At 49.2% G+C, this 21,435-nt stretch overlaps 1 protein-coding gene across 5 annotated transcripts, besides 5 other annotated features; it reads left to right on the top strand.

Annotated features, from left to right (window-relative positions):
- Positions 36-95: an enhancer, noted in NCBI's record as "active region_18077". NCBI's record gives its function as "activates an Ori minimal core promoter by ATAC-STARR-seq in GM12878 lymphoblastoid cells {active_cell/tissue: GM12878}" and the evidence as "EXISTENCE:reporter gene assay evidence [ECO:0000049][PMID:35858748]".
- Positions 77-12,215, top strand: SPATA2 (spermatogenesis associated 2). Of its 5 annotated transcripts, none has more exons than NM_006038.4 (3): positions 77-226; positions 7,014-7,451; positions 8,761-12,215. In NM_006038.4, exons 2-3 carry the CDS (start codon positions 7,116-7,118, stop codon positions 9,985-9,987), a joined length of 1,563 nt encoding a protein of 520 aa, NP_006029.1. In that variant the 5' UTR covers positions 77-226; positions 7,014-7,115; the 3' UTR covers positions 9,988-12,215. The 5 variants fall into 5 exon arrangements, with proteins under 5 accessions (NP_006029.1, XP_006723957.1, XP_047296580.1 ...); XM_006723894.2 differs by having other exon boundaries at positions 77-351; XM_047440624.1 differs by having other exon boundaries at positions 77-576.
- Positions 126-375: a silencer, noted in NCBI's record as "silent region_13006". NCBI's record gives its function as "represses an Ori minimal core promoter by ATAC-STARR-seq in GM12878 lymphoblastoid cells {active_cell/tissue: GM12878}" and the evidence as "EXISTENCE:reporter gene assay evidence [ECO:0000049][PMID:35858748]".
- Positions 890-1,059: an enhancer, noted in NCBI's record as "experimental_60705 CRE fragment used in MPRA reporter constructs". NCBI's record gives its function as "activates a minimal promoter by MPRAs in K562 erythroleukemia cells, with activity observed for both the introgressed and non-introgressed 20:48531169 variant alleles {active_cell/tissue: K562}" and the evidence as "EXISTENCE:reporter gene assay evidence [ECO:0000049][PMID:34662402]".
- Positions 5,400-5,694: an enhancer, noted in NCBI's record as "tiled region #10189; HepG2 Activating DNase matched - State 5:Enh". NCBI's record gives its function as "activates a minimal TATA promoter and a strong SV40 promoter by Sharpr-MPRA in HepG2 cells {active_cell/tissue: HepG2}" and the evidence as "EXISTENCE:reporter gene assay evidence [ECO:0000049][PMID:27701403]".
- Positions 20,870-21,039: an enhancer, noted in NCBI's record as "experimental_60693 CRE fragment used in MPRA reporter constructs". NCBI's record gives its function as "activates a minimal promoter by MPRAs in K562 erythroleukemia cells, with activity observed for both the introgressed and non-introgressed 20:48511189 variant alleles {active_cell/tissue: K562}" and the evidence as "EXISTENCE:reporter gene assay evidence [ECO:0000049][PMID:34662402]".

Below are 21,435 nucleotides of genomic sequence, written 5' to 3'. Positions count from 1 at the left end.
TCCCGGAGCCAGCGCGCAGCCGTGGTCCACCCTCTCTTCGGGCCCGCCTCATGGTGACATCATTTCCGGGCCGAGTGTTTCCGGGTCGCTGCTGGCCCCCGGGTACTGGTCTCAGTACCCCTGCAGCCGGCCGGAGAGGCTAGAGCCCGACGGGGCCCGGCTCCGGCGGCAGCCGCGCCTCTCGCTTGCTTCCCTCGGCCGGGCCGTCCTCGGCGGCAGTGTCAGGGTGAGTGACGGGCGGCCGCGGGCGGAAACTGCCTTCGGGGCTTCCCCAGGCGGAGGGGGCGCCAGACAGCGGCAGGGCTCGGCTGGCCCGGGAGCGGGGTACCCTCACGGCAGGCAGGACTACAGGTGGGCCCGCTGTTTCGGCGCTCCCGGGACCCCCAGCCTATCCTCAGGACCCCCATTCTCCCGGGAGCTGCCTCGCAGGCTCCTGGGACCCGCCGAGGGTGGCTCAGGGCCGCCCAAGAGGAACACCCCTCTTCGGCGACTGGCCAAACAGAAGGACACCCCGATTTCGCCACGAGGCAGTTACCGCGCAGGGGTTCCCAGTTCAGGCTCTGGCGGCACACCTGGGTTTGTACTCACTGTGTGACCTTGGATAAGTCACTTCATCTTAAGAGCCTCAGTTGCCTATTTAAGTGATTGAACCTGGTTGCTAGGGCTGGAGTGGAGATGGAATGAGATCATGCAGGGCCTCTGGCATACAGCAGGCGTCCAATAAGTGATAGTTCCTGTTACTTCATTCAATTCACGAAGCCGTAGGGGGGGCCAGAATTTGAGACTGGGCTGTTTTTCACAACTGACGTGGCCCCCCGAGGCTGTAGGAATGACCGAGCTGGGACTTAGCAGCCGCCAGCTTCTGTCCCCTGCAGGGAGGGAAACAGCTTCCTTCAGAGCTTCTCCGAGAGAGGCAGCTGCCACTAGGGAAGCTTCTTTCAGCACCGCTGAGGTTATTTTCAGAGGTTTGGAAGGACTCTGTGTGAATTTCTTTGGAATCTAGTAGGAGTGTGGGGACCTTCTGGTGTTTCACAGCCAGTGGAAGGTGCCTTGGATGTTTCTCGGAGCCTCTTGCTTGGAACGAGTGCATTGGTGTGGGTGGGGAGGTGGAGGGGGTTGAACTGACTTCCCCGTCTCCTGTTTGGAGGCTGATGGAGCTAGACCAGGGATGTGTAAACCTGTGGACAGGGGCAGTGCACAGACCAAAATAGGTCTGCCTGTGCAGAGAGGGGGCGCCTTCAAATGCTGCTTGGGGAACATTTCTGCTTGAATGGGCCAGCTGAGGTAAAGCCAAGCTAATGCTTAGCTACTCGGAATCACTTCACTTCCATGCAGTGGGACTCTAAACAGATACAGCTTTCCTCTTAGATGTTCAAAAAATAACTAAAGAAGCCACTGGCTCCCTGACTGTGCAATATCTCTTTTTCCATTGACTTGCTTTTCAAGAAGGTACCTAGATTGTGGGTGCAGGAGGTGCTGACTGGAGCCGTTGACTCTGGGCACCTGCCTGTCTCTGTGTTCAGGATATTCACAGTGCTGTTTTTTTGTTTTTTGGGTTTTTTTTTTTTTTTTTTTCCACCAGACTGGCACGGCTTGGCGTTCCAATCCTTGGGTTGCTTGGAGAAATTAGCAGCTTCTGTCGCTGGGCTGTCTCGGTCTCCTGTAACCACGATGTTTTTGCAGAGAGCGTATTTTGTTGTTCTTGCAGAGTGCTGGGAATGAATTGCTGGCTCTGTGCTCAGAAAAAACACCAGCTATGACCAGCTACAAGGCATCTTGTATTCTCAGAAAATGTTTTCAGCAGGGATGATGTCAGCTGCTTCATCACTGGCCGATGTCTCTGACCAGCCTCTTTCCTTGGCCCTTGAGCTTACATCATATAGAGATTAGCTCTCCTAGCCCCATTCGGTGTGGGAAGATGGGAATTTTGCTACTACAGGAATTTTTGTAACTCAACTCTGCTCGCGCCGCCATAAGGCATTCTAACTTAGCCAAACACTTTCGAGTAGAGCTGTCCAGCAGATGCAGCAGGATGGCTTTGCAAGAGTCGGAGTTTTGGCGTTAGACCTAGGTTCAGAGCTCAGATCCACTTCTTCCTAGCCTTACGACTTAGGGTAAGTGAGTTGGCCTCTCCGAGCCTCAGTTTCCTCTTTAACCTTGGATCTATCCTGTGGATTTCATTGGTTTTCACAGAGCAGTTAGCAGAGGGATGCCACACAGTAATCCCTTGGTAAATGGTACTGATGTAACAATAAATGAGTGAGGTAAATTGGAGAAAGCCCAGGCATCAAGGGCCTCCCAGCAAGAGTTCAGATTCCAGCTCTGACCCTTTCAAACTCTGTTGGGCAGGTTGTTTTAATGGGAAGAGCCTGTTTTCCTTATAGAGTTGTGAGGATTAAATGGGATGATGTAGGTAAAGTGGGAAGCCCAATGCTTAGCACATAGTAGAACCTCAGTAATTGTTAGTCTCTTTCTTTCCTTTCCTTATTGACTGATTGAGACAAGGTCTTGCTCTGTCACCCAGGCCGGAGTGCAGTGGTGCCATCATAGCTCACTGCAGCCTCAAACTCCTGGGCTCAGTGGATCCCCCCACCTCAGACTCCCAAGTAGCTAAGACTACAGGTGGGTGTCACCACACCCACCTAATTTTTTTTTTTTTTTTTTTTGTAGAGACGGAGTCTAACTATGTTGTCCAGGCTTGTCTTGCCCTTAATTATCTTTTAGCTTTTACTTTCTTCCGCCTTTTCCCTCACCTACCCAGGTTGGTTTGAGATTTGTTTTAGATAGGCTTCCTGTCCTTATTGTGAGTATTTTGAACATCAGCTGGGCTGTTTGGATCCCTTTCCTTTATTTATTGTTTTTCAGCAACAAACAAGGGTGTGGACTGTGGTGCGATTATAGAGCAGCAGACGCTGAGCCGAGCTTGAGACTGGCTGACTTTGTAAAAAATCAGTCTCTTTGAGTTCAAGGCTGACTTCCTTGGAGAAAAATTACAGCAGTATTCGGAAGCTTAATGTCTCTGTGTTTGAATGGTTCTCAGACTACCAAAAAACAGACCCTGGGGCCAGAGGCGTGATGGCAGCTTCTCTTAGATAAGTCAAGAATGGTAAATGCATGTGTGACTATCCTCTCCAGTGGTGCAATACATTTATTTATGTAGAGATGGAGTTTTTGCTCTGTTGCCCAGGCTGGAGTGCAATGGCACGATCTCAGCTCACTGCAACCTCTCCCTCCTGGGTTCACGCCATTCTCCTGCCTCAGCCTCCTGAGTAGCTGGGATTACAGGTGTTCGTCCAGCTAATTTTTGTATTTTTAGTAGAGGCGGGGTTTCGCTATGTTGGCCAGGCTAGTCTCAAACTCCCAATCTCAGGCGATCCACCCACCTTGGCCTCCCAGAGTTGTAGGATTACAGGCGTGAGCCACCGCGCCTGGCCTGCATTTTTATTTTTTAAGAGAATATACATTTTAAATTGTTTATTTTTTTATGGACAGAACAGTATGAAGTTAGAGCACATACCTACTTTGATACTAGGTGGTATGCTCTTCCAGCTAGAGCTGCAGGCAGGATGTGTCTCCTTTATTGCTGTCCTCTACCTGTCCCACCCATCCCCATTCCCCGACTGGGTCCAGCTCAGGCAGAGGGTGGGGGCTGCAGAAATGCTTGCTGGACATGGGAATCGTGGGGTGGTGAGAGGAATACAGGTTCCAAGTCAGAAGGCCAGGCTTGGATTATCGGGTCCATCATCTGCTAACCTTGAGCTACTTGTCGTACCTCATGCCATCTTTCTGAGCCCGTTTCTTTGCTCTCCAGCTGATCTCCCAGGATTCTTGGGAGGTACCAATGAGAAACTAAAGTGATGGCATCGTGAATGCAGACATCCTTTGCAGCATCCATTTCTCTTTTTCTCTTTTCTTTTTCTTTTTCTTTTTTTTTTTTTAGAGACGGAGTCTCGCTCTGTTGCCCAGGCTGGAGTGCAATGGGGCGATCTCGGCTCACTGCAGCCTCCGCCTCCTGGGTTCTAGCAATTCTCCTGCCTCAGCCTCCCGAGTAGCTGTGATTACAGGCGCATGCTGCCACACCCGTCTAATTTTTTTTTAAATTTTGGTAGAGACGGGGTTTCACCGTGTTGCCCAGGCTGGTCTCGAACTCCTGAGCTCAGGCAATCCACCTGCCTCGGCCTCCCAAAGTGCTAAGATTACAGGCGTGAGCCACCGTGCCTGGCTGCAGCATCCATTTCACCTACTTTATCAAGCACAGGCAGGCTCTGTGTTAGGCATCGTGGTGAACAACACAGACATGGTCCTTGCCTTTATGGAGCTTACCACGAGCTTACCAGCTTACCAGGGAGGGTGAGGGGTGGACAAAGAGAGGAAGCTAATGAATGAATGAAGTTGATAGTTTCAGATTGTGGTTATCGTAGGAGAATGTGACAGTGTGGAACTGGGAAGGTGAGATAGGGTGGTACCTCTAGAGGCTGATGTTTGAGCTGAGGCCTGAATGATGAGAATCTTCCTGAAGCAGAATTTTATCCCAAGTGGATTTTGTTTTCTTTTGTAAAGACAGGGTATTGCTATGTTGCCCAGGCTGGTCTCGAACTCCTGGCCTTGAGCAATCCTCCTGCCTTGGCCTTCCAAAGTTTAGGGATTACAGGCGTGAGCCCCCGCACCTGGCCCCTAAATGGATGTGTTTGCCTCCTGTACTCCTCAGCCTTATTTGTCACTGTAGCACTGGGCTCCCTCAGCAGTGCAGTGTGTTGGAGACAGTGGCCTCTCTGTGTCCCTAGTTTTGCTACACATCCCACCTCTCACCGCACCATTAGTACTCCCAGGAGTCTCCTCCTGGGGACAAAATCTGTGGAGGAGCCAGACTACTGGCTCTTTGAGATGAGGATGATTTTGTTGACCTCCTGATAGTTGCTGGGCTCGTAGGACCTTCCTAGCTGAACACAGGTCTGCTAAAGGAGTCCCCCACATGCCAGGCCCAGTCCTGCTGCAGCTTCTCTCAGCCCCTTGCTGTCTCCCACACTCAGCAGACATGAAGCACACAGGTCACCTTACTGAGCAAGATGGTCACAGGCCTGCACCCACGGAGCTTCTGGGCAGGAGCAGCAGGACCAGAGCATGTGAAAATGCACATCTACCACCCAGTCAGAGGTATTTGCCCCACTCAGAGAAGGCCTGTCCACTTAGGGGTACAGCACCTTCAGACAACAGCAATGGCCATCAAGGACTTCCCGGAGCCGGCTCTCTGAGCAGCTTCATATTCCATCATGCATAATCCTCTCGCCAGCTCTGGACAGAGGCGCTATTATTAACCCCGTTTTATAGGAGAAAACCGACACCCAGGGAGGTGGAGCAATTTGCCCAAGTAACCTGGAGAAGCAGCCCTGGCCTCACTCGCAGGTGCCTGGCCTTGGACCCCGTGTCCGTGACCCTGCGCGTGTTGTCTCCCCTGGCCCTGGCAGTGTCCCTCCATTAATCCGGATTCGCTCCCAGCGTTGTGGTGACAAGAATATTGCTGGATCTGTGCCTGTTCTACTAACAAGTGGCTAAGCAGATGACAAGATTGTGTAAAGCCTGTGTCCCAGCTCAGAACATTCTATCCTCTCCCAACAGGGGGCTGTCAAGCGCTCTGGTGATAAAGGGGCCGCAGGCTGTCAAAGGCCGGTAACAGCACTCCAGGGGCCGGTAGCCACGGTGGCCTCTTTTGAAAATTGTAAATAAGACCGTATCTCTCTCCCCTCGCTGTAAACTCTTCAGTGGCTTCACGTGGCTCTTTGTATAAAATATCGAATTCTGAATGTGCTCTTGCGGCCTTGGGGCTGAGGGTCCCGCTGATGCTGGCATCTGCCTCTCCTCATGCCCCTGCCCTCGTGGCCTCGGCCTCACTGGCTGCAGTTCTGTTACTGTTCCAGGCTTCCTGCCTCAGGAAAGCAGGGTGTGGTGGGTAAGGGCATGGACTTTGGAGCCAGATTGCCTGGGTTCTGAGCTCAGCTTCTCTGCCTCCTGAGAGTTCTATAACCTTGGACAGTTTCTTTTTCTTAAAAATTTTTTTGTATTTTTGTAGAGACGTGGTTTCACCGTGTTTCCCAGGCTGGTCTCGAGCTCCTGGACTCAAGCCATCCTCCCCCGTCAGCCTCCCAAAGTTCAGGAATTACAGGTGTGAGCCACTGTGCCTGGCCTACCTTGAGCAGTTTCTAATGTCTGTGTCTCAGTTTGCACATGGTCCACTGGGGCTGCCTGTAGCGTCTCTCTCCTAGGATTGTTTAAGAAGAAAAAGTGAGGCTGGGTATGGGGGCTCACACCTGTAATCCTGGCACTTTGGGAGGCCAAGGCTGGTGGATCACTTGAGGTCAGGAGTTCGAGACCAGCCTGGCCAACATGGTGAAACCCCATCTTGACTAAAAATACAAAAATTAACCAGGCGTGGTGGCAGGTGCCTGTAATCCCAGCTACTTGGGAGGCTGAGGCAGGAGAATCGCTTGAACCCGGGAGGCGGAGGTTGCAGTGAGCTGAGATCACGCCACTGCACTCCAGCCTGGGCTACAGAGCAAGGATCCATCTCAAAAAAAAAGTAAGCGAGTTAGTGTGTGTGAAGCTCGTCACGTGTCTGGAGCCTCTGGTACTATTAGCTCAGGGCCTTCCTCTACTGCGACTCCTTCCCCGGCCTCTTGGCCTGGCAGACTCCTCATCCTTCAGGTCTGTTGCTGTCTCAAGAGGGCTTTCCTAAACTCGCCCTTCCCCAACGAAACCAGGACAGGAGCTCCTGCTGTACTCACCCGAATTTCTCTTTCAGGAATATTAATCGTATTTTTCATTTGTGAGCACAACAAAGTCAAGGTCCATCTCTCTCTGGCCTCTGTTGTAACCCTGCTTGTAGTACATGCTCTGTAGTGTGCTGCTGGGGTCCAGTGTAGCCCAGGCCAGTTCTGCTGTTCATTTTGCCTCAGCGACCTGAAGCCGAAGCGCGACCGTATCGAGGAATGACATGCTTCTTGTTCCCCTCCTTCCAGAGCACTCCGCTGGTCCAGGCGGCAACATGTCCATGCTTTTAGTGATGTCCCTGCCTCTAATCCAGAAGCCATGGAGGAGATAAGGTAGCCCCCCTCGATCGGATGGGGAAGCCCAGTTCAATGGATACTAAATTCAAGGATGACTTATTTCGGAAGTACGTGCAGTTCCATGAGAGCAAAGTGGATACCACCACCAGCAGGCAGCGGCCTGGCAGCGATGAGTGCCTGCGGGTGGCAGCCTCAACCCTGCTCAGCCTGCACAAGGTGGATCCCTTTTATCGATTCCGGCTGATCCAGTTCTATGAGGTGGTGGAGAGCTCCTTGCGCTCGCTCAGCTCCTCTAGCCTGCGGGCTCTGCACGGCGCCTTCAGCATGCTGGAGACGGTGGGCATCAACCTCTTCCTCTACCCGTGGAAGAAGGAATTCAGAAGCATCAAGGTGAGGTCCTGGAGCAGCCTCCATACAGGCCCTCCTTCTCTCTTCCTGCCCCTGGCAGTCCCTCCTGAGAGGCTATGCCAGTCTGATCCCATCCATCCTGTGCTCTCAGATCCTTCCGGGCTCCGAACCTTCCCCGTCTCTCCAGCATCACCTCTGAACCGTTTCTGGCCCGGCTGCCACACCTTAAGCAGAGAAGCTGGGAAGGCAGGGGCAGCCAGGTTATGCAGGGTCTTGTGGCCCAGGGCAAGGCTTGGATTTGTTCTGAGTAGGCGGGGAAGGAGGCAGTGTGGGATCTGGCTTGCATCTGAAGAGGGTCATTCTGGCTGTGGTATGGGAAGTAGGCTGTAGAGGGGTGGGGGGAGGTGGGAGGGATGGGGAGAGCAGTTAGGAAGCTTCTCAGCGGTCCCAGCAAGCTGAGGGGTGTTCTGTACTAAGTGGGAACAGTAGAGGAGGAGGGGGAATTGAGAGAGGGATCCTGAATCAGACCACGCGGGGGATGGCACAGGAGAGCTGTCACCTAGCCAGGCTTCTTCATTCTGCCATGGGAGGAGTGGTAATCAAGAGAGGGGATGGCACAGGAGAGCTGTCACCTAGCCAGGCCCTTCAGTCTGCCGTGTTACTCAGCCCCTCATGGAAATACCAGAGAGGAACGTTCTGATTGTCACCGCGTTCTGCCTGTAATCTGGCCCCTTTATTCAGCCATGTTTGCCCAGGCTCTCTCTTCATATGGAGTAGAGTCTTCGTGCCCCACTAGGAAGCGAGAGGTTTTGCTTCCTGTGTTTAACAAAGTAGCTGCTGCCAGGCGCGGTGGCTCACACCTGTAATCCCAGCACATTGGGAGGCCGAGGCGGGTGGATCACGAGGTCAGGAGTTTGAGACCAGCTTGACCAGCACGGTGAAACCCCATCTCTACTAAAAACAGAAAAATTAGCTGGGCGTGTTGGCGGGCGCCTGTAATCCCAGCTATTCAGGAGGCTGAGGCAGGAGAATCGCTTGAACCCAGGAGGCGGAGGTTGCAGTGAGCCAAGATCGCACCACCGCACTCCACCCTGGGCAAAAGAGCGAGACTCCGTCTCAAACAAAAGAAAGGAGCTGCTGGGTCATTTCCTTGCACAATTCCTGAGTGCTTAGCAAGCCCCAGCTCCTGCGTCTTCTGCCTCCCGCAGGGTGAGGCTGTCGAGATCCTTCCCTGCCCTGCCCTCTCCCCGCCGCCCCACTTCAGAGCTGGACATCCTTTGCTTTGACATAGTCTCTGTCTTGTGTCTCTGACAGAAAACCCCACCTTTCTTTTCTACTCCCTCCCTTCTAGACCTACACGGGCCCTTTTGTTTATTATGTCAAGTCGACATTACTGGAAGAGGACATCCGAGCCATCCTGAGCTGCATGGGCTACACACCTGAGCTGGGCACTGCATACAAGCTCAGAGAGCTCGTGGAGACCCTCCAGGTGAAGATGGTCTCCTTTGAGCTCTTTCTGGCCAAAGTCGAGTGTGAGCAGATGCTAGAAATCCACTCACAAGTGAAGGACAAGGGCTACTCCGAGCTGGACATTGTGAGCGAGCGCAAGAGCAGTGCAGAGGATGTGCGCGGCTGCTCGGACGCCCTGCGGCGGCGGGCAGAGGGCCGGGAGCACCTGACGGCCTCCATGTCACGAGTGGCACTCCAGAAGTCGGCCAGCGAGCGGGCGGCCAAGGACTACTACAAGCCCCGCGTGACCAAGCCCTCGAGGTCAGTGGATGCCTATGACAGCTACTGGGAGAGCCGGAAGCCACCCCTGAAGGCCTCATTGAGTCTTCGGAAGGAGCCTGTGGCAACGGATGTGGGGGACGACCTCAAGGATGAGATCATCCGCCCATCCCCTTCGCTGCTGACCATGGCCAGCTCCCCCCACGGCAGCCCGGATGTGCTTCCACCCGCCTCCCCCAGCAACGGCCCGGCCCTGCTGCGCGGTACCTACTTCTCCACTCAGGATGACGTGGATCTGTACACAGACTCTGAACCCAGGGCCACCTACCGTCGGCAGGATGCTCTGCGGCCGGATGTGTGGCTGCTCAGAAACGATGCCCACTCCCTCTACCACAAGCGCTCGCCCCCTGCCAAAGAGTCCGCCCTCTCCAAGTGCCAAAGCTGCGGGCTGTCCTGCAGCTCCTCCCTCTGCCAGCGCTGTGACAGCCTGCTCACCTGTCCTCCAGCTTCCAAGCCCAGCGCCTTCCCCAGCAAGGCCTCGACTCATGACAGCCTGGCCCACGGGGCATCTCTGCGGGAGAAGTACCCAGGCCAGACTCAGGGCCTCGACCGCCTCCCGCACCTTCACTCCAAATCCAAGCCCTCCACCACGCCCACTTCCCGCTGTGGCTTCTGCAACCGCCCAGGCGCCACCAACACCTGCACCCAGTGTTCAAAAGTCTCATGTGACGCCTGCCTCAGCGCTTACCATTATGACCCCTGCTACAAAAAGAGTGAGCTGCACAAGTTCATGCCCAACAACCAGCTGAACTACAAGTCCACCCAGCTCTCCCATCTCGTGTACAGATAGACCGGCCTCGCCCCTTCCAGCTCCAAGGGCTACATCAACCGACCTTTCGGGTTTCACGGTGAAGAAGTACTAACGCATTGATCTCAGAGGCGGAGGCCTGCACTTGACCATGTAGGTGGCAGAGATCGTGGGCTGGCTGTGTCCACGTGGGAGTTCACTTAGCGACTCAGATATCTCAACCAATGGCTGCTTTGTTGTCTGACAAGGGAGAAGGTGGCACTTCCGTTCAGATTCATTTTGCTAATCTCTCCACTCCCTGTTCAGTTGGTTCTTTTTTTGGGGTTTTGTTTTGTTTTGTTTTGTTGTTTTGTTTTTTCCTTTAAAGAGGATTTCTGTCTCTGGGACCCTCGCTGCACCTACCCCTCCCATTGCAAAGCCAACTTGGACTGGGAAGGGCCCTTCAGGTCACCAAACATCCACCTGGAGCGGCGAGCTAGAGGCCTGTTGGCTTGTGAAATGAGCCCTCCTGCCACACGGGGCCTCTCCCAAAGGCTCATCCCTTGGCCGCCCCCTTCCTAAACACAAGGATCCCCAGCTGGACTCCCCACCCCCTGGCTTCCCCACCTCTCCAGGTGTCAAAGGTGAACCGAGTCCAGTATTAGCTGAATGTCATTTCGTACACCACAGCTCAGTCAGCCCATGGCCTTCGTGAACTTTGCTCCAACACACTGATGTGTGGGCTTCCCACAGCAGGACTGACTTCCCCCTTTCTGTTGTTTGCACATGCCCCTCTTACTGTACTGTCAATAGATATTTTTGAGATTTATTTTTAAATAAATATTCAACTTGCTGTGTGTTTCAACGTGGTTAAAAAAATGAATTATGTAGCTATTTATTAAATGCCCTGGGTTCTTTAGTCTTCCAAGGGAGGGCCTCGCGCCCATTCGTGTTGTATCCTCCACTCACTATGGCCCGAGGGGAGAGGAGAGTTTGGGGCAGGGAGGAACAGACATGAAGCCTCCTTTTCTTGAGCTGGTGGAGAGCCACTGTCTTCCCTGCAGTAACTATCTATACACCTACCTCCAGTGTGCACTTAGGGGGTGAGCGCGGGTGTCGAGGTCTGTGTGTCTGCAGACTGCTAACCTATGACAATTCAGGGACCTCACCTGTCGGACCTATAGCTTGCTGAGCAGGAACCTTGCACTTCACACTTCTTGAGTCTCGTTTCAGAAGGAAAATCATTTGGGATTCCTACTGCCCCTCCATCTCAATCCTCTTCTCTTCACCAGTTTCCAGGACTCATCTGCAACATTTGCAATCTTTTTGCACTAAAAGTGGGCAGGAGTCGGCATGTGCCCATCAGAGAGACGGCTCCTCAGATGCTCAGCTAAGCCTAAGCGCTTCCAAGCCTGAAGGCCCCTTCAGCTTCTCATGTGAATTACCAACCCCTGGATTTTCCTTGTGGGGGTACAAGAGCAGGAGTGGGGCAAGAGTTTGAAAATAAAGCCGCTTCCTTGTGAACTAACTATATTTTAGCCATAACTGTTTGTGATGTACACAATGTTAAGGGATTTATATGCAGTGGGCTTTTCTGGGAGAAAGTTATTCAGCTCTTGAGCAAGTTTAAGTCTGGCTGAATCCTGAGGCCACTGTGAATTTGCTGATGTTCTTCCAACTCAGTTGAGTGATTTTAAGGTTTTCCAAATCTTCTATGGCTCTCTTTTTAATATATATATATATATATATATATATATATATATATATATATATATATATCTATCTGGTAGATCACATGTAGATGTACAGTGTGTATATTAAGCTGAATTTCAACCAACTTTATTACTAAGACCAGCCTAGCAGGGCATTCATCTTTGATGTTCTTCCTTTTCACATTTCAGAATCGGCAATGCCTGGCCCACTCCTGAGAGCTCTAGTTTTCTAGTTTTCCATTTCCAGATTGCGCCAGCATTACAGTAACTAACTCTTTCTAACCAACCGTGATGCCACGTAACTTACCCTATGGACAAAAGCAGGAATGACTAACACATCCTAGGAGGGAAAGTCCAGTGTACCTGTCATCACGGACGCACTGTGGTCACAGACTGGAATACGAAATACTACAGCCCTGCTCCCAGGTGTGCATCTTACTGGATGAGGTTGCTGTGATTGAGATAGTTAAATACATGCTAATTTAAAAATGCAGATGTTTTACATTTGATTTCTACCAAGAGTTGAAATGTTGAGAGATGATTAAAAATAATAATAATAAAGTGTCTTCCATTGTTAAATGAAGTGTTTGGGGTTTTATGTCCCCTGGCCCTGCTTTGAAGTTTGGTTACTTGGGAGTTTATTTTTCCTTAAGCTGTATTTAGTTTTTTAATGACAAGACTTAAATTTTCTCTTCCATGAAACTGACAAATAGCATTTGAGTGCTATACTGCGAGCCTGGCACTTTTTATTTTTTTAATTTTTTGTAAAAAAAATTTTTTTTTTTTTCGAGACGGAGTCTTGCTCTGTCGCCCAGGCTGGAGCACAGTGGCGCTATGTCAGCTCACTGCAAGTTCCGCCTCTTGGGTTCACGCCATTCTCCTGCCTCAGCCTCCCAAGTAGCTGGGACTACCACACCTGGCTAATTTTTCGTTATTTTTAGTAGAGACGGGATTTCACTGTATTAGCCAGGATGGTCTCGATCTCCTGTCCTCGTGATCTGCCTGCCTCGGCCTCCCAAAGTGCTGGGATTATAGGTGTGATCCACTACGCCCGGCCATGTTTTTTTTTTTTAGTTTAAGACGGGCTCTGTTACTTCCCAGTCTGGAGTACGGTTGTGTGATCATGGCTAGCTGTAGCCTGGACCTCTTGGACTTGAGTGATCCTCCCACCTCAGCCTCCCAAGTAGCTACAGGTGGGCACCACTATGTCTGGCTAATTTTAATTTTTTGTAGAGGTGGGGTCTCACTATATTGCCCAGGCTGGTCTCAATCTCCTAGGCTCGAGTGATCCTCCCGCCAGGCATTTGTATCCTGAGACTATGTGCATGATCTTACTTACTAGCTTCAGTCATCCTATTAAATAGGCACTGTTACCATCTCCATCTTACATATGGGGAAATGGCGGTACACAGAGTTCAGATGTTTCCCAAAGAGGGGACTGCATCATCCAGGAGAAATGCTTGTTAGTAGAGACAAAGAGGCATTAATAACATTGGAAGATGTTTTTTAAAAGTTAATTCCATTTGAATTTTTTTCCATCCATTTAACTGTCTTGAGGAGGGAGTCAGTTCGATGCTACCTTGTCTTTAACAGAGAAACCTGGCATCAGACACAGCGTGTGGCAGGCTCTTAGCCAGGTTTTGTTACCTTCTAGGGCAGGCCATACTACTTTTCCATTGTAACAGTGATAGGTTTGCTTTAAAAATCAATTTAAGGGCCGGGTGCGGTGGCTCACGCCTGTAATCCCAGCACTTTGGGAGGCCGAGGCAGGAGGATCACCTGAGGTTAGGAGGTTGACTAGCCTGGCCAACATGGTGAAACCCCGTCTCTACTAAAAATACAAAAATTAGCTGGGCATGGTGGCGGGTGCCTGTAATCCCAGCTACTTAGGAAGCTGAGGCAGGAGAATCGCCTGAACCCGAGAGACGGAGGTTATAATGAGCCAAGATTGTGCCATTGCACTCCGGCCTGGGTTGACAGGAGTGAAACTCCATCTTGGAAAAACAAAACAAAACAAAAAAGGTGTTTTTTTCTTAAGTGAGGATTGACTTAAAAGCAAAATACATGGCAGAAATCTTAAGGCAGCAGCAGCAGGCCTGTGCCCACCCACTGACCACGCTGCTGTGTGGGCTCCCACCAGGCAGCTCAGCTGTCAGGGCAGACACTGAACAGGTTTCTCCATTTCATTTGCTGGCTGAACAAATACCCAGGCCTTGGGCCAAAGCCAGGCTCAGGTGCTGGATTGCTTTGAGCTATAGCATAGGAAACGGCATTGCCACCCTGGCTGTCGGGGGTAGCAGTTTCCTGGAGACGCACACCTACCCTGGGAGAGCTAAGGAAGCCAGGTGCTTGCTCCGCATCCAAAAGGGAACAGAGACTTCAGAGCAGATTGCTTCATGTACATTACATGTACATGTAAATGACAAACATATTTAAACCTCATTGGGCCCACCAGCTGGACAGCATTAGCTCTGCTGGCCGATCTGTGGCACCTAGGATGCTAGATTACCAATCTCAGGGATGAGAGCTGTGGCAGACACCAAATCGTACCCCAGTCTCCATCCCCTCCCCCTTGGTAGTAGAAGCCCCGGTTTTCAAATCTGTGGCCACCTATAGTAAAGATTGCCTTCCCTAGCCTTTCCTGCAGCCACGTGTGGTCAGATGACTGTCTGGTCCCTGGATGGAGAGGTGCTTTGTGTGGTGTCTGGGCATGGCCTTCAAGGAAGGGAGCTTGCCCTTCCCACCCAGCCCTTCTTCCTGGCTGGAATGGCTGTGATGGCTGGAGATGGAGCTGCTCTATGAAGCTGAGGGGGCCAAGCGAGGAAGGGGTGGGCAGCAGCTACAGCAGCTGGCCCTGATGCTCTGGAAGCTGCCCCCATGGCCTGCCCGTGCTGCCTGCCTCTAGGTCTGTTATATGAAAAATAAACTGTTATCTCACTTAAGCCCCAATTTGTCTATTTTTTTTTTTCTTTGAGACGGAGTCTCGCTCTGTCACCCAGGCTGGAATGCAGTGGCGCAATCTCGGCTCACTGCAAGCTCTGCCTCCCGGGTTCACACCATTCTCCTGCCTCAGCCTCCTGAGTAGCTGGGACTACAGGCACCTGCCACCACGCCCGGCTAATTTTTTGTATTTTTAGTAGAGACGGGGTTTCACCATGTTAGCCAGGATGGTCTCGATCTCCTTACCTCGTGATCCACCCGCCTCGGCCTCCCAAAGCGCTGGGATTACAGGCGTGAGCCACCACGCCCGGCCTAATTTGTCTGTTTTTAAAACCTTTTTGTTTACAAAAGACATGAAGCCTAATCTGGGCAACATAGTGAGACCCCATTAAAAAAAAATTAGCTGGGATGGTGGCACATGCCTTTGGTCCCCAGCTACTTGGGAGGCTGAGGTGGGAGGATCACTTGAGGCCAGAAGTTCCAGGCTTCACTGAGCTGTGATGGCACCAGTGCAGTCCAGCGTGGGCAGCAGAGTGAGACCCTGTCTCAAAAAAAAAAAAAAAAAAAAAGCAAAAAAGTGATACTAGTATAATGAATCCCAGCTTCAGCAATTGAACAGTTAGTTACCAACTTGTGGCCAATCTGGTTTTGTCTCTACCCTTGCCATCCACTTTCCTACTCCTGAACTCTTCTGAAGCAAATTCTAGATGTCTGTCTCATTTGTGAATTTTTCAGTGTTTATCTAAGAGACGAGGGCTTTTAAAACATGATACCTGCTACGGACTGCATATGTCCCCCCAAGAAAAAACAAACGTTGAAATCTAATCCCCCCAGTGTGCTTGTATTAGGAGGGCACTTTGGGAGCTGATTAGGTCATGTGGGTGGGGCCTTCACGAATGGGATGGGTGCCCTTACAAGGGGCTGAAGAGAATGGAGTTCTCCCAGCACAGGAAGACCCAGCGAGCTGACCGTCTGTGAACCAGGAATTGGGCCCTTGCCAGACACTGAATCTACCAGTGCCTTAATCTTGGACTTCTCAGCCTCCAGAACTAAGATAAATAAATTTTTGTTGTATAAAAGCTACCCAGTCTGTGGTATTTTGCAGCCTGAACAGGCTGAGACAGTATTACCTTCACATCTAACTTTTTTCTTGCGACGTGTTTGTTGAGGAAACTGGATTATTTGTCCTTTAGAGTTTGCCAGAGCCTAAATGTTTACTTCAGCCTGCTTGTTGTTTTAGCACTGGGAGTAGTTGTTCTCTCTGTTTACCTCCAATTTCCTACTGTTTATTTGCACATATTGTGCAAAAGTAGAAAAATAAATACTTCTTATGGGAATGATTCAAGGCTGCAGCTTCATAAATGAGAGATGAGAGGAAATCACTTAAGGCAGGGGTGAGCTTAAGGGATGGGAGTAGGTCCAGGTTTTCAGACATGCGAATCTCCACTGGTAACATATTTCAGGTCCTATGTGAGGAGGAGGAGGCGGTTCAAGTGGAACTGCAGGACTATACGGCGTTCTATTTTTAATGTTTTGAGGAGTCTCCATACTGTTTCCATAGCAGCTGTACCCATTTTATCATTTTTATTTATATTTTAATTAATTTTCTTATTGTACACCTGAACTTAATATATTTTATTTTTTTGAGATAGAGTCTGACTCCGATTACCCAGGCTAAAATACAGTTGGCATGATCTTAGCTCACTGCAGCCTCGACCTCCCAGGCTCAGGTGATCCTCCCACCTCAGTCGCCGGAGTAGCTGGGATGACAGAGGCACGCCACCATGCCTGGCTAATTTTTTTGTATTTTTAGTAGAGACGGGGTTTCATCATATTGCACAAGCTGGTCTCAAACTCCTGGACTCAAGCGATCCACCTGCCTCAGCCTCCCAAAGTGCTGAGATTACAGGCATGAGCCACCACACCCGGCCAGCGGTACCATTTTATATTCCCACCTGCAGCACAGGAGTCCCCATTTCTCCACCTCTTTGCTAACGCTTGTTATTTTCTGGGGTTTGTTTGTTTTTATAGCAGCCTTCCTAATGGGGTGAGATGATATCTTATTGTTTTGATTCATATTTCTCTAATGATTAGTGATGTTGAGCATCTTTTCATATGCTTTTCGGCCATTTATATATCTTCTTTGGAGAAATGTCTATTCAAGTCCTTTGCTCACTTTTAATTTTTGTTATTTTAAAAATAGAGACGGGATCTCTCTATGTTGCCCAGGCTTGTCTCAAACTCCTGGGCTCAAATTATCTCCTATCTCGGCCTCCTAAAGTGCTGGGACTACAGGCATGAGCCACTGTGCCCAGCCCTTTGCCCACTTTTTAATTGGGTAAATTTTTTGTTTTTTATTTGCAGTTCTTTATATAGTCTGGATATTGATCCCTTATCAGATACATGATTTGCAAATATTTTCTCCCATTCCATAGGTTATCTTTTTCATACTGTTATTTCTTTTGATGTGCAAAAATTTAAAAGTTTGATGTAGTCGGCTGGGCGTGATGGCTCACACCTGTAATCTTAGCACTTTCGGAGGCTGAGGTGGGCAGATCACCTGAGGTCAGGAGTTTGAGGCCAGCCTGGCCAACATGGTGAAACCCCATCTCTACTAAAAATACAAAAATTAGCTGGGTGTGGTGGCGCATGCCTGTAATCCCAGCTACTCAGGAGGCTGAGGCAGGAGAATCGCTTGAACCCAGGAGGCAAAGATTGCAGTGAGCCAAGATTGCGCCACTGCACTCCAGCCTGGATAACAGAGCAAGACTCTGTCTCAAAAAAAAAAAAAAAAAAAAAAGTTTGATGTAATCCCATTTGTCTATTTTCGCTTTTACTGCCTATGCTTTTGGTATAATATCTAAGAAATCATTGCCAAATCCAATGTCATGAAGTTTCCCCTTAAGTTGTCTTTATAGTTTTGGGTCATACATTTAGGTCTTTTATCTATTTTGAGGTAATTTTTGTATACAGAATAAGGTAGGGGTCTAACTTCATTCCTTTCCTTATGAATGTCCAGTTTTCCCAACACTATCTGGTGAAGAGACAGTCCTTTCCCCATTGAGTGGTTTTGGTACTCCTGTCGAACATCATTTGACCATATATGTGAGGGTTTATTTTTGGGCTCTCTATTCCATTCCATTGGTCTATGAGTGTATACCTGTTTTCATGCCAGTACCACACTAGTTTGATTACTGTAGCTCTGTAATATACTTTGAAATCATGAAGTGTAACGCCTCCACCTTTGTTCTTTTTAAAGATTGTTTTGGCTATTCAGGGTCCCTTGAGATCCCATATGAATTTTAGGATGGTTTTATTTCTCTATTTCTGTAAAAAATGCCATTTATAGGGATTGCATTGAATCTGTAGATCCACTTTGGGCAGTATAGATCGTTTTGTTGTTGTTTTTTTGAGACAGGGTCTCGCTCTGTCACCCAGGCTGGAGTGCAGTGGTGCAGTCATGGCTCATTGCAGCCTTGAACTCTTGGTTCAAGAGATCCTCCCACCTCAACCTCCCAAGTAACTGGCACCACAGGCATGTGCCACGCATGGCTAATTCTTAATTTTTTTTTGTTGAAACAGGGTTTCACTGTGTTGCCCAGGCTGGTCTTGAATTCTGGCCTCAAGTGATTTGGGAGGTCTTGGCCTCCCAAAGTGCTGGGATTACAGGCGTCAGACACCATGCCTGGCCCTATTTGTGTCTTTTAAAATTTCTTTCAGCATGTTTTATAGTGTTCAGTGTACAAGTCTTTCTTGCTGCTTGGTTAAATTTATTCCTATTTAATTCTTTTTGATGCTATTATAAATGGGATTTTTTTCTTAATTTCCTTTTCTGATTGTCCACTGTTTATGGAAATGCAGCTGACTTTTGTGTGTTGACTTTGTATCCTGCAACTTTGCTGAATTTATTTATTAGTTTGAACAGTTTTTTTCTTGTGGAATCTTCAGGGTTATCTACATATAAGATCATGTCATCCATGAGATAATTTTAGCTTCTTTCTTACCAACCAGGGTATCTTTTCTTTGGTTTTCTTGCTTAATTGCTCTGGCTAGAACTTCCAGTACTACGTCGAATTGAAGTGGTGAATGTAGGTATCCTTGCCTTGTTCCTGATCTTAGAGGATAAGCTTCCAGTCATTCACCATTGAGTATGCTGTCAGCTGTTATCCTAGATGGCCTGTATTGTGTTGCAGTAGTTTCCCTCTATTCCTAGGTGGTTGAGTGTTTTGATCGTGAAAGGGTGTTGAATGTGTGCATGTATTGCATGGTAGCTGGCTGTTGGGGTTTGCTTGGATTTGGGTCTGATCTCTGTGGTAAGAATACTTGATGCGTATTCTCTCATCAGGAGGCATATTATGTCGAGTTCTCTCCCTTTGGGGAATTAGCAGCTATTAAGGCTGTTACTTCCCACTTAGATCCATTATTTCACTGGAAGTTACAAAATAGAGATATTCCAATTCAATGATTTCTTCTTTGTTTGGCAGCTGGAATACTTCTATAAAAGGCAACTTCCCTGTGATGGTGGTTATGCGAATCTACACGATATAAAATTGCGTAGAACTAAACACACACACACACGAGTGCCTGTAAAACTAATGAAGTTGGAACAAGATCTGTGGACTGTGGCAATGCCAGTTTCTTGGTTGTGAAACTATTCTGTAGTTGTGCAAGATGTTACCACTGAGGGTAACGGGGGGAAGGGTACATGGGACCTTTCTGTACTATCTTTTTTGCAACTTCTTGTGAATCTGTGATTTTTTTTTCTTGAGACAGGGTCTCATTCTATCACCCAGGCTACAGTGCAGTGGCACGATCACAGCTCACTTTAGCCTTGACCTCCTGGGTTCAGCCTTCTGAGTAACTGGGACCACAGGTGTACACCAACATGCTGGCTAGTTTTTTTTAATTATATATAGAGAGACAGGGTCTCCCTATGTTGCCCAGGCTGGTCTCAAACTCCTGGGCTCAAGCAGTCTTCCCACCTTGGCCTTCCAAAGTGTTGGGATTACAGGTGTGAGCCACCACACCTGGCCTTACTCTTCTGTTTTTTTCCCCAACCTTTAAAAAATGTTAAAACCATTTTTAGCTCTTAGGTAGTACAGACACAGGAGGCGGGCTGGATTTGGGCCACAGGCAGTAATTTGCCAATCTTTGCCCCAGGGCTAGAAGAGGAATCGTGGGTGGAAGGGCCACAGGCCTCTCCGTGGTGACTGCATCAGTTTGGACCCTCACCTGTTTCCCTAGGGGCCTTCAAGTCACTCCATCTAATGCACTGCTCCTCTAGTTCTGGTCAAAGAACATGTGTGTTCCTTATTATTGACTTAATAAATATTCTTTATGAGAGAAATAGAAAGTATATGCAAACAGCAAGATTTTAAAAGTTACCTATAATCGGCCAGATGCGGTGGCTCATGCTTATAATCCCAGCACTTTAGGAGGCTGAGGTAGGTGGATCACTTGAGGTCAGGAGTTTAAGACCAGCCTGAACAACATGGTGAAACCCCGTCTCTACTGAAAATACAAAATTAGCCAGGCGTGGTGGCAGGGGCCTGTAGTCCCAGCTACTTGGGAGGCTGAGGCAGGAGAATCTCTTGAACCTGGGAGATGGAGGTTGCAGTGAGCGAAGATCGTGCCACTGCACTCTAGCCTGGGCAACAAGAGCAAAACTCCATCTCAAAAAAAAAAAAAAATTTACCTATAATCCTTCCACTTGGAGAGAACCAAAGTTAAGTTAAAACTCTATGTCTATCCTTTAAGATTTTTTTCCTGTATACACATACTGCTAATTTAATTTATAGAGCCACATCTATTGATATGGTTCTGAAATCTGCTTTTCTCAGTTCATGAAGTTATAACAGCATTATTTCTGTTGTAACAAAATACCCAACCAGAAATGGCAGATACAGAACATGTATTGCCCCATGTCATGAGATCCAGAGGGAGGTCAGTTCCAGGACTGGTTAATTAACTGCTCCAGCAGTGTCCTTGACAACATACAAGCCTTCTGTCTTTCTGCTCTGCCATCCTCAGCATGGTGGCAAGGTGTTCCCTCCTGGTCTCCAAATGGCTGCAGCAGGTGGAGGCATTACATCCTCAAGTAATGGGAGGCAAAGGTCAGACAATGGGAAGAGAACATGTCCCTTCCTTGAGTGTCTTTTTGAGAGTAAGGAAAGTTTTAGAAATTCCTCAAAAGATTGCTTCAGGCCAGGCGCGGTGGCTCACACCTGTAATCCCAGCACTTTGGGAGGCCGAGGTGGGCGGATCACCTGGGGTCAGGAGTTCGAGACCAGCCTGGCCAACAGGGCAAAACCCCATCACTACTAAAAATACAAAAATTAGCTGGGCATGGTGACGGGCACCTGTAATCCCAGCTACTCAGGAGGCTGAGACAGGAGAATCGCTTGAACCCACGAGGCGAAGATTGCAGTGGCCGTGAGCTGAGATGGTGCCACTGCACTCCAGCCTGGGCGACAGAGCGAGACTTCGTTTTTTTTTGTTTTGTTTTGTTTTGTTTTGTTTTTTTTAATCGCTTCATTCTCCTGCCAAATAAGGTCACAGACCCATTCCTCAGCCAATCTCAGACAAGTAGAGGGAATGACCAGGAACAACCTGAACCGAGAACTGGCTCTGTTTCCCCTTGAAGCATACAGTCACCCATTACACGAACCACATGGGTTCTCTTAGCAAAGACAACAGGGCTCGGGGAAGAAGTGGTGGTTGAAAGGAACCACCAGGTCTTCCATATTAGGGATGAATGGGTGCGCGCTGGAGTGCCAGTATGTGTATTTGTATAAAAGGATGTACTAAAATTTCTACTTTCGTTTTTAGTCATTTTAAAATCTCAAACAGCATTTAAGGA

Source organism: Homo sapiens, chromosome 20 (genome assembly GCF_000001405.40).
Source record: "Homo sapiens chromosome 20, GRCh38.p14 Primary Assembly".
Classification (NCBI taxonomy): domain Eukaryota; kingdom Metazoa; phylum Chordata; class Mammalia; order Primates; family Hominidae; genus Homo; species Homo sapiens.
Note: the sequence above shows the minus strand (reverse complement) of the source record. Positions and strands in the feature narration are given on the sequence as shown.